Below are 16,646 nucleotides of genomic sequence, written 5' to 3'. Positions count from 1 at the left end.
GGAAAACAATCATCTAACTATGATTCAAGACAGAATGAAATAGATGCAATGGCACAAAACCAGAGAGGAGGCAGCTTGGAGTATTTAAAAAAAGAATGTCTAGAATAAAGAGCAAAATTCTTTTTACCAGGGATAAAAGAACGCCGATGTGGAATCAGAAGTGGCTTCTAGTCCTGGAATACTAGGGAAGCAGGTAGTAACTATATCATCTAAGACAAGCCACACATCTTCCCGTAGCTTCAGTTTTCCCCTCTGTAAAATGGAAATCATATAATACTGGCTCAAAATACCAGACAGCACCACTAGGAGGCTCAAAGAAGACATTGGTATAAGAGGACTTGAAAAAATGCTGCAGAATATAAGTTACACAAAACCATGGAGGATATATGTGACCTATATTGACCATATGTTCCTATAGATTTTGGTCTGATGATTAACAAAAACCAGAATTTCTAATGAGAAATTAGTCTAGAGCAGTGGTCCCCAACCCTTTTGGCATCAGGTACCAATTTCATGGAAGACAATTTTTCTGTGTACAGGGCTGGGTATGGGAGATGCATACAACTCACCATGATGTAGAATCAGTGAGAGCCCTGAGCTTGTTTTCCTGTAACTAGACAGTCCCATCTGGGGGTGATGGGAGACAGTGACAGATCATCAGACATTAGATTCTCATAAGGAGCATGTAACTTAGATCCCCCACATGTGCAGTTCACAATAGGGTTTGTGCTCCTATGAGAATCTAATGCCGCCACTGTTCTGACAGGAGGCAGACTCAGGCAGTCATGCAAGCCATGGGGAGCGGCTGTAAATAGAGATGAAGCTTTGCTGGCTTGCCCACTGCTCTCCTCCTGCTGTGCGGCCTGGTTCCTAACAGGTCACAGACCAATACTTGTTCTGTGGCCCAGGGGTTGGGGACCCCTGGTCTAGAGGTTAAATTCACAACAGGATCTTATAAACAGTGACTTCTTTTTTCTCCACCTTCTTAATTCTCTCCTTATTTACTTATTAAATATGCTTATTTAAAACATCAAATAGTAAAATATAAACTAACAAATCCCTTCCCTCACGTCAATCCTCAATCACTTCTTACTTTATCACTGCTAACAATGTCTTGTGTGTCCTTCTAGGAAAAAAGCTTATGACTGCCCCATAATCATAACTGTACATGCTCCTGAGTGTGTCCCCTGTATAGACAGCTATACACCTGCTTTTCTAGGTATCCATTACTGGAGAGGAAAGATCTTATTTCAAATAATCTAAGTTTAAGGCAATATAGTTTTAGATTACTGAAATCTGACGTTGCTTTTGGTGGTGATAATTAAATAATAATGTGATTATTATTTCTTATCAATAGCAGAGGTGGAAGAGAAAACTAGAAGGTTACTTAATATAGAAGCCAAATCCTGAACTCAAATTGTAGAGCAAAACACTGTTGTTTGTTGGTTAACGAAGGGAGAAAATTCAGCAGGTAAATGGTGGATAGATTTTTGATTCTGGAGATTTGCTTCTGAATAAACTGGAAAGAAAAGACAACGGACTTTTTTTTACTGCCTCTAGTTCAGAAATGCATTTCATAAGATTGAGAATCTTATGAGAATCTCAGAAGAAAGACTGCTGATAAGAAAGGAGGGGTTTCAGTATTAACAAATTCACTGAATAACTTTTGAAAAATGACAGCAGGTATAGACATATGGAAACAAGACTTTGAGCTTTTAACTAAGTACTTCAACTGAGAGCATTATCACTTTGGAATCATGCAGAGACCCAACAAACTTCATAATGACCTGAGTCTTCTTTCTTTTGTCCTTAGTCTCCATTCAGCTCAAGAAAATAGTAAAGTATAAAAAAATGGACAGTTATTCAGGCCACAACATACCCAGAACTACTTACTAGATATATTCTCATTCATAGTGTAAAAAACTCTCGCTCCTACTCTGTGTACCCTAACGTTCTTCTCTGTGTCATTTTGATGGAGCATATTTCACTGGCTTTATTACACAGCAGATGGCTGGGTCGTTAAAGCCCTCTTCGAGTCCTACACTGCAAGTATTGAAACTTCATAATAATTCATAAGAAATTTTTCATTTTCTCACCTCTGATCTGGAAAGCTAAAAGCAATCCACCATAGTTACACCATTGTTACATATTTCTCACCTCCTCTTCCTATGTGATTTACAGTAATCATCTTCCTTATTCTCCTCTTACAAATAAAATCATTTCAGATTTCTGAACTTCTCTGTTCCTTTTTTCTATTGAATGAGCTATAATACTTTACCATTCTGAGTTCTTTAAAGGTGCTGGACACTTGGTAAAAAGCCCACCGCATACTGAAGGTGATGTCATGGTCTCTGATAAGTACAGGAATTTGCTCAGCTAACTTTGTCTGAACTCCCTGTGGCTTTCACATATGTTATTGAAAAGGCAGCATATTATCTCTTATTAGCAGACAAGATGGTCTCGAAATAACTGGAAAAAACTCAAATCCACATAAATGGAAAATTTGACAAAAGAAATACAGAAAATGGCCCTGATGGGTCTCAAATAACTATATCTCTTTAGAAAAATCACCTTAAGAGCCCAAGTTACTGATAAAAGAAATTTGGGCTTGTACCTAAAGTGAATCATGCTGGAGGAATTAATTTACTTCATCTCAGGCTGAAAGTTTTCAAATGTCATGGTTCATAAATTCTTATGGCTGGTAGGGCTTTCTGGCCATTCTGCCTCCAAAAATAATCATGGAAGGGCACATCTTCTAGGAGAACAGAAAATTTGCCTCTTCAAAATTAATTAATTCATTTTTCATTTCTTCCAAAGGCTCGGTCACAATCTAGAATTACCTGGGAGTGGGGTTACAGATTTGTTCTTTTATGGACAGTTACTGAAATCGAATTGGAGGATTTCTATTTCTAGCAATATGGTGGACTAATTTTTCTATAGTCCTTCCTATGTGTGAAGTACTGTGAAATTAAAAATCCGCAGGGTAAATTATTGTGGAATACATAAAAGGCTCCATGGTATACGGTGGTCTCCAGAAAGTCAGTGGGATACCTCCCCCTAAGACAGGGCCCTTTCTAGAGGGGCACACCCACACCTCCCTTCTCTTTACCCAATGATTACACACCTGAAGGGTGAGGGAGGAGGCTATGGTTCCCTGGGCAGACAGTGATTTTCTGAGAGGATAGCTCAGCTCTAAAATTTCCAGGGAAAAAGGTACTCAAAAATAAAAATAAAAGCCGCCACCACCCCACTCCCACACCCCAAAAACCAATGGAGGCTCTGGTAAGGTGGAGGATGAGAAGTTCCCACCACTCAGGCTCCCTTTGTCCAGCCTTTTCAAACTCAGGAAATACACTTTGCTTTTTGTAAACTTCTCTGGCTTCTTGAAAGTTGGGGGAAGAGTTGGAGGAAAGTAAGGGGAAAATAGATGTGGCTGCTGATTCCAAGAACACGTGGTTGAGCATGCAGAAAAGCATTCTAAAAGCCAAAAACTATCATAAAGCTCCAAACCTTAGCATCAAGCAGAGTCATCTGGAAAGGCTGTCTTGACTCCTGAGCCTGGATCTGATGGTTCAGCCTCTGCAAGGAATTGTCTGGGCCATGGAAGAGAAGTTCTGCCTTAAACATGAACATTTTGGGGTCCAGTTTGAATGGAAGGAAACTTACCCAGCTAAAATACAGCCTACAGTTTTTACTTCTTAAAAGCTGCTGAAAGAGAAAACATCTTCCTGCCTCAACACTTCCCTTGGTCCTACATTCCCATCTTTTGCAGGACAGTGTAGGTGAGAAGAAGCAGGTTCGAGATGGGGCTCCAGGTAGCACTCCTGTGACTGCCTTCTCAGCCACATCACCTGCCTTATTAGGAACAGCCTGAGGAATTAGTTTCATCTATGCAGGGAAATATATCTACATGTGGCTATGTCCAGTTAGTTGAAATATATCCATCCCAACTTCTGCTTTCCAGCTGCAACCAGGGTGTTGTGTTGGGAGCAGATAAAGTTCTCTAGTCACAGTCAGGCAAAGAGCAGCTGGTCACTTGTGTTTCTCTCCTGTCAGTCTCTAAGATGATCTGACTGGGTCCCACCTCCTGCCAGCAGTGAACTGGGTAATTTGAGCCAACTTTCCCAGTGAACACAACAAAGAAAGCTGGATGAGGTTAACAACAAACAAACAACAAACCTTCCTAAAAGCACCAAAAAGCTAACAAGATAGGGAGGAATTTCAGGTTTAAGATGTGAGAAAAGAAAGAGATCTAGACATGTAGGCCTCAGTACTAGGGGCTGCTTTTACCCAGTTGGAGGGGCTGGGCCTGTCAATCCAAAATAGGAAGCTAGGAAGCTGAGCAGCGTATTGACGGCCTCATGGAATCAAGAGGCCAGGGCCTCCCTGAGGCCTGGTAAACCGCTTTACATTTAGAGTAGGACCCCAAAGAGCTCCAAGCTTGTCTAACCCACCTTATTTTGTTGTTATTGTTGTTCTGTTTTGTTTTAGGCTTTTAGCAGCCTGAAGCCATGGTTTTTAGTTTCTATCTTTAGTGATAAGCGGAAAACAAGGATGAGGAAGGGGCTTTACTGGCCCAACCAGAAATGGAAACTAAGAACCCACGACTGTATTGTCTCCCTTGGACACCCTCTGATAGACCCTAGAAGTAAGACAGAACAAAAAGTAAACTAGTCTGGCTTCATGTCATCTGGGTGATCTAGAAAATCTGAAGCCCCAAAATTGACCCACTATTGCTGATACCCCAGAAAACCTTAAGAAGTTAATTAAAATTCTCTTTTGAACTCTTGTCATCTTTATTATGATTATCCAAAGTCTCAAATTATCAAATGTCCTGAAGTTTTAAATATCACTAATTATATGAAGCACTATGATTTTATGTACCAGTGAAAAAGAAAAAATGCTGTCAACTAGAAGTGTAAAAATTCATGACATAAAACACATACTGATTTCAGAGACTAAAATATAAAAACACTGTACATCTTAAAATGAATGACACATGGTATTCTTACATATATTTTTTCAAAACAATATCCAGCACACATTTAAAGATAATGAGGCACACAAGGAGACATGACAACATAAATATGAACCAGCATGAGAACCAGAACAAACAAAAGACAGGACAAAAAGATGCTTAGGAATTCCAGATAGAAAAATTACCAGATACAGAATGTAAAACAATTATGCTTACTATGCTCATGCAGCTAAAAGCTCAACATAAAAATTACAATAAAGAACCAAGACCCATAAAAAGTAACATTGCAGATTTGAAAAATAACTAGAATTCTAGACTGGAAATTCAGTAATCAAGATTGAGAATGCAATAAATGATGGATTTAACCACAGATTAGATACAGCTGAAGAGATACACTGTGACTTGGAAGACAGGTCAGAAGAAACTATTCAGAATGTATCTTGGAGAGATTAAAAGAAAAGGATGGCAAACACAGGGGAGGGTAAGAGATACAGAAGATAGAGTGAGGAAATTTAAGATAGTAAAATTAACTTGCACCACAAAGTCTCCCAGAAATAGGCAGTAGAGTTCAGATGAAGTTTCTAATATTCCTAACCCTAACTCCCTCCAAGACCAAGTACATAACTGAGGCAGGCCATGTTAGCAAAGATCCAGAGGTAGTTAGCAGTTATTAAAAGTGTATGTGACTGTGGTTACGTTATTTTACTTTTCTAGGCAACACTCTCCTCATGTATAAATGGAGAGACGTGACAGTACCCACTTCAGAGACTGTTGTAAGAATAAGAATTAAGGCCTGAGAAGCACTTAGCAAATGCTCGATGTAATTTGGCTTCCACTAAGAGGATAAAGCACTCTATCTCTCCATCTAAGCTTGCTTCAGGAACTAACAAGCAGCTCTATGACTATCAACAAAATGTTTAGCCTGAAACATGGAACTGAAGATGTTGGAATCATGGAACATGAGGGTTGTATGGAATTCTTTTTTTCTTTTTTCTTTTTTTTTTTTTTTGGGACAGCGTCTGGCTCTGTCACCCAGGCTGGAGTGCAGTGGCCCGATCTCGGCTCACTGCAAGCTCCACCTCCTGGGTTCATGCCATTCTCCTGCCTCAGCCTCCCGAGTAGCTGGGACTACAGGCATCCGCCACCACGCCCCGCTAATTTTTTGTATTTTTAGTAGAGACGGGGTTTCACCGTGTTAGCCAGGATGGTCTCGATCGCCTGACCTCATGATCAGCCTGCCTCGGCCTCCCAAAGTGCTGGGATTACAGGCGTGAGCCACTGCGCCCAGCCGGAATTCTTTATAAAATGGCCACTATACCTATGAGATCAGAGGTTATTGTTTTTCCTTTTGACAAATGACAGGTCATTTTTTTTTTTTAAAAAAACACTACACTCAAATAGATAATTCACCAAAACAACAACAACAACAACAACAAACACCACACCCACCCACACACACACACACACACACACAAAGTCCTATAAAAAATTCTATAGAAAAATGTTTAGCTGTGTTGGTAAGCAAAATGTAAATGAAAGCAATAAAGACACCTTTACTTTGTCACATAAGTAATTACAAAACAAGTATGTTATCAATGGTGTGGTGAAATTTCATCATTTATAGTATGCTATCAATATAAGGTAAACTGGTACACCATTTTGGTAAAGCCATTGAACACAATGCATACACATCCTTGGCTCAGTAATTTCACTCTTTGGAATGTATACCAAGAAAACAATCCAAATTGTAGAAAAAGCACAGACACAAAGTTGCTCATGCAATGACACAGCAGGGAGAAATTAGGAGCAAACTTAATGTTCACTAATAGCAAAATGTTGTGGTAAATTAACGAGCTTCTAAGGATTGAATTATGCAGACATGAAAAATTATGTTCACAACAATGAGAACACAAGGACACAGGGAGGGGAACATCACACACCAGGGCCTGTCAGGGAGTGGGGGTTAGGGGAGGGATAGCATTAGAAGAAATACCTAATGTAGATGACAGGTTGATGGGTGCAGCAAACCACCATGGCACGTGTATACCTATGTAACAAACCTGCATGTTCTGCACATGTATCCCAGAACTTAAAGTAAAAAAAAAAAGCATCAATAAAACTCTGACATTGTGGAAAGACAAAAAAAAATTATGTTCACAAAGAATTTATGTTCACAAAAATTATGTTCACAATAACACATACATTGTTTATTCTAATAAAAAAGCAAGAAAAATTAAAATTATATGTACAATATGGTCTCAATTGTTCAAATGAGCTTGAAAATGGGCTGAAAAACACACTAAAAATACACAGCAAAATACGAATGGGATTAAAGTATCACAGGATCACCGGTAGGATTTGTTTATTCTTCTTGCCACTTTCCATAATGAATATATATTACTTTTTTAAATAGACAAATAAATGTTTTTATTCTAGTTATTTACTGTAAAGATGATACAAAAAAAGCAATAAAGGAAGTTTTTATAAAATAGTCTCATTCCACCAATTGAACCGTCTCAATTTTTCTGTGATAGTTTCAGTACTGCCTGTGTTTACACACACCTTTGGCATAGATGTAATCAGTTCGAATTAATGAGTAGTTCTTTGAGGATCAGGTGCCCTGGAAATGAGACAAGTTATCAAACCCTTTTCCTGCCTGGTCTCCCTACACCAACACACTCTACAACCAGGAAGACAGAAGAACGGTATCCCAGCAGCACTGAGTGTCAAGGGGATGGGGTGAGCTCCTGGCTCCTTGCGCCAGCCTCCCAGCTGATCTCTGTGTGACCTTGGCAAGCCATCTAACCACTCTCAGCCTCAGTTTCTCCAATTATTCAATGGGCAAGCAAGGCTGGCCAGAAACCCCTAAAATCTCTTTCAGGTCTAATTTCTGTGACTGTGTGCACATTTGACCTAAGATCTCCAAACAGGTCTCAACTCGAAAAATTTATACAAATCAGACCTGTTTAAATACAAATGAAAGACTAGCAATGCTTTAAAAGAAATCCCTCCTACAGCAAATCTTCATGTAGAGTGTTTCTTATTTCTTATTTTTAATTTTTGTTAAATCTAGACATTGATACATTGCCAGATCAGTCTTGTGCAGGGCCAGGCATTTATATTTAACATTTCTACACTAAAGCAACAATTAGAACACTGTCTTCCTCACTGAAGCTAAGGTGATCTAAACTAAGGAAAAAGATTAATTAATGAGAAGTCTGAATTATAGTTTCATTTTTAAAGCCTTATTATTTTAAGTTCTTAAAGTCATACAGTCATACATCACTTAATGATGGGGATCCATCTAAGAAATGCATCATTAGTCAATTTCCTGGTTATGGGAACATCATAGAGCATACTTACACAAACCTAGATGGAATAGCCTACATACCTAGGCTATATGGTATGGCCTATTGCTCCTAGACTACAACTCTGTACAGCATGCTTACTGTACTGAACACTGTAGGCAACTGTATCACAGTGGTCAGTATCTGTACACCTAAATATGTCTAAACATGGAAAAGGTACAGGAAAAATACAGTATTATAATCTTACAGTTTCACAGTCCCACATGCAGCCCTTCATTGACTGAAATGTCATTATGTAGCACACAACTGTACTTAAATTACTTGCTCCCCAAAATGAGGGGGCAAGTGTTTCCTGCCTGGCCTGTTTTAATGCAAGGACATCTCATCCCAGGCTCAGGTATTCCAAAAGAAAAGTTTGAATCAACGTACTCCTGTTATAAACTCTTCAAATACCATTAGAGTGACCTGAAAAAGAGTTTCATTCATTTCCCGAGGCAGTAACTTCAGCACTGACCAACCTCGTTTACAAGGTGCAGTAAGTTACTACTACCCACTAGTGGAACACAGAGCCTCCTGCTAAACCGGAACGATCCCTGCCCCTCATTTCACCTATGATGCTGCTCATGTGGACCTGGGGCTGCTGACGATACAGAAGTTCTTACTTTTGAGGGCAGATGTTAACAGAAGTATAGGTCACCCTAGGTTTAACAATTCCATTTTGATCTGTGCTCTCAATTTAAGTCAATACTTTGAGAACATTCTCTTAGCTCCTATCAGTCACAGGTAGGACTAGCTTCCTATTCTTGCAAACACAGCTGTCCAGTCATTCCTCAAAACCTTTCCCAAAGACTGCTTTCCCAAAGACTGCTTTCCCAAGAAGCTAATGAAACTTAAATTCAGAGCCCATCACTTGTCCTCACAGGACCCTTCCAAGGCCTGGGAGGGGTCCTAGCAATGTGCTCCCCTTATCGTTTTGTCGTTTCCTTAAAGAGGGTCCATCAAATTACATAAGCATCAAGTCCACCAGAACTGAATCCTCCTCTGCCATTTTCCTTCCCGACTGGTGGTTACCAGGCACTGCCCAAGCAGCAGGCGGGGATGATCTTGTGGGTAATGGCGGTTCTGCTACCCACAGTTGTGGTATATAAATCAGCCACACTAGAAAAAGAAGAATTTGAGGCTTTATGCTTCAAAAGATGAACTTAATATAATAACCAGATTAGGATATCAGGTCTGAAAAAAAGGATATTTATTCTAATTTATGAAATTACTTATATGAAAAGTTCTGCCATGTTAATTACACATGTAATAGTTCCTCTTTATTGAAAAGAATTGAATTACATTAGATAAGGCCTCTCTTATATGGCATGATACATAATAACCAATAACCCTTAGAACAGTGGTTGTCAAGCAGCAGTGATTTTGTTTCCCAGGGGATACTTGGCAATGGCTGGAGACATTTTGGGTTGTCACAACTTGGGGAGCAGGCTGGTGTTTAGTGCTCCTGGCATCTAGGGGGTAGAGGCCAGGGATGCTGTTAAGCACCCTGTAATGCACAGGACAGCTCCCCATAACAAAAAATTATCTGGCCCATAACATCAATAGTGCCCAGGTTGAGAATAGCTGCCTTAAAATAATGGGCACATATAGGTAAGGAAGCAAGGATTCTCCCTGCAAACGATAAAGCTTTAAACTTTGGAGTGGAATGTATGAGGGCCAAGCTGACAGGTGGCTCACAGAGAGCCACTACCTGACTTCAACCACTGCACCATGATAAACAGCAATGAAGCCTCCAGACTTTCAAGAATCATGGGACTGCAAGGACCCTTGCCAAGACTGGCTATGTGAGGGGGTGGTGGTTTCAGGAGCACCAAGAAAGTCACTTTGCCTCCCCAATTACCTCCAACACCCACTTGTCTGTGCCTGACATTGTCTCATGGTGAACACAGCCTTTCATTCCATTATGAGGCTTAAAGTGCAAAGACCCCTGGAAGAGAGAACACAGTGACCTACATTCATATTTAAGAGAAAGTGACCGATGACAGATTGGTTTTCCCCTGAGACCAGTTTGCATACAGTGAAAGGCTCTCAACAGCTGAAAATGATGGAGAGGAAGAGAGCATAGCAGGCCCTGATGAGGCCAGGAAGGAGTGACGAAATGGGCAATAGAGGTCACTGAAATAAGTGTCACCTACCCTACCGACTCTTTCTGCCTGAACCTGCAAGGAGGGAGGGATGCAGAGAGAAAAAAAAGTCACATTCTTGGCCTTGAAGAAGATTACAGTCAAGTTCAGCTCAGGTGAAAAAACTCCAGGAATGCTTGAAAGAATGGCTGAGATGCAGGGCAGTGCTACCCCACAGCCAGGACAGGAGACAAAGGTCCTTGACAGCTGTGGGATCATGCTGAACCTCAATTGGTTCTGGGTGATGCCCCCCACCTGACACCTAGCCTAGTCCTTGACACAGTAAAATGTTCCAGCAGCACTCGTGTGTTGAGTGAATGGAAACTATTCCAGAGGAAGATCTATCAAATACCTAAAGTACTCTAAATTCGGTTTGTTTTCCTTGACACCTTTGCCAACGCTATTTCCCTCAATTTGGGAGGAAAGTCTTTGTTAGTTGTCTTTGCCCATCTGAATCCTATTTCATCTTGCAAAGCCCGTTTGTTTTCTCTGTAAATTCCGGATAGTTTTTCCCCCTTTTCTTATGAGCACATTCATCTAATACTTACCATATTTTCTATGTATCTTTCATAACGGGCTTACTTACAGAAAAGATTTCAGAGAGGCTTTCAAGTTCACAACAAAAATCCTGTAATATAGTTTTTTATAAAGAATTTAAAAGAGAGGTCTCAGAAATAATTTAGGGAGAAAAAAATCATTGTACCAAGAAGCTGGGATAAAGCCATTACCAGGAATTTCTAGAGGCCAAGGCAAAAAGATAAACATACAAGGCACGTAGAGAGTTCTCAATGTCTGATAAGAGAAAAACCACAGTTCCATGTGGTGAGAATATTTTTTATGTCAAATTCCAGGAGGAATTTGCTCCTGGCTTTTCATATATGCTGCCCAAGTTGTCATTTTACATGTTTATCTCATGAACCAGAGTTCTTTAAGACAAAGACTACGTCTTAGACTACATTTCCCTGATAAATGCCTATATTGCATTGTAAATACTCAAATATTTGCTAATGGATATGATTTTCTCGCCAATCTGGATATTCCAGTGCATCTCAAGATCCTAAGATTATCAGAGTAACAGATTCATCAAATCTCTTAGCAGGAAAACTATTTAATTCCAGTCCTAGGGCCCCAGCCATGGGCAATGATGGGACTTAGACTCTCTCACCCCAACATCACTGGTATCAGTTTGGAGTGAGGGGCTGGAAGGTTCAGCTGGCCCTGTCTTCATGCTTCCCTCTCCCTTCCCCTATTGGTTCCTTCCTTGTTTAGGAGGTGTCTTTTTTTTTTTTTTTTTTATTGGCCAAAATGCAGAATGAAGTTTATTTGAGAAAATCTTGTTTAGTTAGAAACAAGAGGGTGATATAGCCAGGGTTTGTAAGAGGCAGACTTTTAACCTGCAGCAAAAGTGAAACAACGAATTTGAGTCAACTTGCAACCAACCCAACAGGAGATTCACGCATCTGGAGTAATTGAGTTAAAGCAGATTAGGTTCTGGATTAATACAAATCACTAATTTCTATTTGTTTGCTTTTTTTTAGTAATTGAAAAATACATGCAATTAATTTCTGACATGAAGAAAAATTACAATTAATCCCTCACTGCTCAAAAGCAGAATTCTAGGAGTTAGGTCAGTTGTCTAGAACTTCTGGATCAGATGATCCAAGGTTGCTTTGTTATTTAGTTTAAAGCACTGAGTATTCCCACAATAGCTGTTTAAGCACGGTATGACAGTAGCATTAAAAGGGAGGTGTCTTTTTGTCTGTCTCCAGCATGGATTCTCTGTCCCTTTGAGCATTAGGGCTTTGCCTTATTGCCCTTTGATTCCCTGTGATAACTCCATGGTGCTTTATGCAAAGAGGCTGACTTTTCTAATGCAAGGAAACTGAATTGGAAAGAGGTTCCAGAGCAAGCCTTTTTACTATTCAGCCCTGCTCCTGTCTGACAAACCCTCAAGCATAGAAGTGTACCCTCAAGTGTAGAAGACTAGCCCTTCATACACCACACAAGCGGTTTGGAAAGGTTAAAACGCAGGTCACTAAAGGAGTTGAAGACTCGAGGTTCAGAAGATATTATATTTTCTCTCCCTTGTTTCTATCCGTACCCCAAAAGTACACTGGGCAACCCTTCAGCAAAAAAGCCTTTAGTATTTAGTAGGTGCTCAGTAAATACATATTACAATAAGGTCATAGCATAGCTATCTTGAACATAGTAGGTACTCAATAAATATCTGTTACATTGAGAACGTCATGACGCTTCACCTTCGCACGGGGTAGGTGCTCAATACATATCCATTCAATTGAAAAGTCTGCAGTATACCTGCTTTTCACATAGTAGGTGCTCAATAAGTATATTTTACATTAAGGTTATTTAAGATAGCTGCCTTGCACACAGTAACCTCCCAGTAAATGGCTACTGAGCAGTTGTGGACACTCCTCAACCCAGGCAGGGGTGACATTAATCAACCCCCAGGCACAGATCCATGAATGGAAATGCACGTCTCGAGGTAGTGCTTTCGAGAGTGCTGGAGAGGCGCGTGACAGTACGCGGCCGCTGCGCTCTGTCGGGACGCTGCTGACCCACTGCTGGCTCCAGGGTATCGATTAGCGATCGGAATCCATTCCCCACCCAGGGGCGGGAAACAGCCGCCGCCTCCAATGGTCATTTCGGGGACGCACCTGGAACTCCCGCCACAGCCCCCTCCCGGGGCATCCGCCCACCCCGGCTTCACCTACGATTCCGTAGAGTAGCTGGCAGAACAAAAGCAAAAGCCGGCCTGACTTCCGATTGCTTTCCTGATAGAGAGCAACCCGGGAGGAGGCTCAGGGAGCCGGCCCGGGACCCAGCTGGGATGTCAAACCCGAGCCGCTGCCCTCTCCGGCAGGCTGGGGCTCTGGGTCGCCCAGCGGCGAAAGCGGCGGGGTCCCCCCACTCCCCCTCTCCCAGGGGCTACCTACCGCCAGTGTAGGCGCCTCTGTCGGGTGGCGAGGGGAGAGGACGCTGTATTAACCCTTCAACGAGAAAGGGAGAGGCTGGAGGGGAGGATAATCGGGACTGCGATCCGAATCTGAACTCGCAGTGTGAACTGCCCCTCGGCGACCCCAAGCGCTCCGGACTGTCCCCGGGGGTGGGGTCCCCTAGCGGCGCCCGGCCCCTGCGTCCTCCTCCCCTAAACACAACGCGAGGAGCCCAGCGGCAACCTCCCATCCCAAACGGGTCCAGGACAGCACCGGCGCGCGGTCTGCAGGCGAGGAGCTCACCCAGGGCAGCCGGGCGGGTCCCGCGGGAGACCCCCGCCGCTCGGAAACTCGCTAGTTTGGCAGTGGCTTGGCCTGGGGGGCTTATTGTTAGGGTAAGGTGGGGAGGCAGTGCGGGCGGGGAAGTCTCATCTCTTCCCCGCTTCTCCGGAGCCCGCCGAACTCCGAGAGGCGCAGGCGGCGGGAGGAGAAAGCCAGCGGAGGGGAGCCACTTACCGAGGCAGAGCCCGAGAGCGTGGCGGCCCGGGCGCGAGCCGCCCTTTGTCTGCGGCCGCGGCGCCGGCGCGCTCGGCCAGGCCGGTCCCAGCCACGGCGCACGGCGAGCTCCCGCGGTCGCCCCGACAGCCCGGCTCGCTGCTCCAGCTCGGGCTCCGGCTCCCGCCCCGGCCCCGGCCCCAGCCTGCGCCGCCGCCGCCTCGGCTCCGCCCAGAGCCGGGCCCCGCCCCCGCCCACTGGGCCCCCACCTGCTGCGGCGGTGGCGCTGGGGAGCCGGGCCCTGGGCGCCCGGGGGCGGCAGTCTCCCGCGCGCCCTGCTCTGCCCTCCCGCAGCCTCCAGGCCGCTCAGCCGCGCGGTCCTGGGGCCTTCCCGGACCCAGTCCCGCGGAGACGAGCTCACCTGGGGAGCCGAGCCCCGTCCCGGGTAGCCTGGCCTTCCCGGGGCACACGCGGTAGAGCTCCAGTCACTCAGAAGCCCTTCCTCACGCCCGCCGTGGGTGGGGGATCCTCGGGCTCCGTCCGGGAGGGAGGGGGCGCCGAGAAGGCGGGAAGCGGGGATCTGCCTGAGCCCGGTCGCCGCCCCGCCAGCCCCGCGCGGCTGCAGCCGCCGGGGGCCCGGTGGGAGGGTGGGTGGGGAGAAGGAGCCGGCGGGGACCGGTGGGCTCTGGAACCGGGGAGACCCGCGCGCGCGGGAAGGGGCACTGGGCCGAGGGTCGAGGGGGCGCGGAGCCCAAGTGCACCGGTCCCCAGCCGGCCTGGGATTCCGAGCGGGCCGCCTGGGCTGTGAATCTGTGCTCATTGGCATGACCGGAATAAAACTAACAAAAGAGAACCAACACTTTGGGATCCAGAGGAAAGGGACAGAAGAAGCCACTGGACCCTAACACTGGTAATAACTGGTGCTTCTGTGGTGCCTTCAGCGAGCCCAGAGCTGTGGGCACCGATGAGGGTCGTCACTGAACGCGGTGCGTCCCGTTGGAATGGTTGAGGCGCTGCTTTTCTAGGCATAGAAAAGTCTGATAACCTAAATATTGCATAATGAGGTCACTGGTGGCTTTAGCTGCCCATGAGCCTTCTCCTCTCCCAACTCCCAAAGCCTTCCGAGTGAGACCTGCGTTTTGGCACTTTCATAGGGTCTGCTGTGTACTGCAGTTATTCCCGCTTCGTCCCCCACCTCTACCCCCAGACCCTAATACAATTCCAGACGCTTAATAATTGTTGCAAGAATTCGCTGTCGAATTTTAGCGTGGGCAAAACATAAAAATGAAGGATTGTGGGATCATATTGGAAAATGCACTAAGGGTTTGCACAGTGATGGTGGTATGAAGGGTAATGAGTGTTGGCTGCCATTAGTACATAGTTGCGCTGCGACTCCTATGTGTGCAGGTAGTAGGTTTAGGATGATATGCTAAGTTAGAGACTGCAGTTATCAGGACCTTCATTAACCTCAGAGAATAGTTAGGGATAAGGAAGGAGTGTGTAACAAGCGAGTGTGTGTATATCTGTGGTAAGACATTCCAATGTGTCTTCCCCAAAGAGAACATTTTAACATTTTGCTTCCTTGATTTTCATTACAAGTAGTATCAATTCAGCAAGTAGGCATAAATATGAAATGTTTTGTGTTGATTTATTCATTTTTATAACATCTCTTCTATGAAGGAAGAATAAGAGGCCCCAAGGCTGCTCATTTAATCCAAAAGAAACAGAAGGGCAAATGTCCCGCCACTTTAAGCCCACTAACTGCAAAGTGAGGATCTGGCGAGTCCGAATGAAGAGACTGACCCCCATCAACACCTGGAAAGCTCAGAGTCCCCCTCCAGCGTGTTTTTGTTTTTTTTTTTTAATCTGTTTATCTTAGGTCTGGAAGCTGCTCTTGAGAGCAATGTGCTTGTCCACGTGAGATAATTTATCTCTTCCATTTGGCAACTGGGAAAATGTAATTTTCTCTGTGTGATGAGCATGAGTGAGTGGTTCATACATAGTGAATGGCCATCCTCCAAATCGCGGGACAAGAGACTGTGAAATATGCATGTTTAATATCAGTGCCCATTACCGTACGATGGCAGGGGAATGAACAGGAAGCGAGTATCTGTCTGGGGCTCTCCACTGTCAGGTAAAGTGGTGTTCTGTTCTCCTTGCTGCTATCAGGAAACAAGTTATTTCTTATTTTTACTCCATAGGGAAGACTTCTAAAGAAACAGCTGGCTGAAGTCGGTGTCAGTCACTAGAAAATAACTGCACAGAATTCTGGAGTTGGGAAGTTCACCAGGTCATTCTGTTTGAAGACTTTTTTTCTGGGAGGAAAAAAAAATGAGCCAGCATTTCCTTACTGCCTGTGACTAGACACCAGAAGCTGTAACTCGGTAGCTAGGCCAGGGGTGCCCACATCTACAGTAGCCCTGGAGGATATGGGGGCAAGGGGTGCTGCACAGAGCAAAAAAGTGCCCTGTCTGCCTTGCTTAGGGTATTTCGGTATACTTTTCAAAAATATTGTGCTGGCTAAATTTGTCTCCCATGGCACCTGTTTTTGACTCAGATCTAGGTAGAGGAGGGAAGCAACTTAGGTGATTAAACAGATTCCTGACCCCACCCTTTCTGTTCCCAGGAGGAGTTGGCATCGGGGCCAATGACTTTGCATGTGGCCTCTCTTCCGGGGGTAAGCACTGGCCATGTTTGAGGAACCCACTATACCATGGCTTCTAGATGA

At 44.1% G+C, this 16,646-nt stretch overlaps 1 protein-coding gene across 5 annotated transcripts in view; it reads right to left on the bottom strand.

The window, feature by feature from the left end:
* Nucleotides 1–14,571, bottom strand: part of MAPK4 (mitogen-activated protein kinase 4) — a 172,215-nt gene extending 157,644 nt beyond the window's left edge. For 3 of the 5 annotated variants that reach the window (NM_002747.4, NM_001292040.2, NM_001292039.2), the window contains exon 1: nt 13,940–14,096. The gene's annotated coding sequence lies outside the window, so the exon portion shown is untranslated. The other 2 variants (XM_017025839.3, XM_011526076.3) reach the window with 2 other exon arrangements.
* Between the last annotated feature and the right edge of the window lie 2,075 nt (nt 14,572–16,646).

Source organism: Homo sapiens, chromosome 18, assembly GCF_000001405.40.
Source record: "Homo sapiens chromosome 18, GRCh38.p14 Primary Assembly".
Lineage (NCBI taxonomy): Eukaryota > Metazoa > Chordata > Mammalia > Primates > Hominidae > Homo > Homo sapiens.
This window is presented reverse-complemented; position numbering and strand designations above follow the sequence as displayed.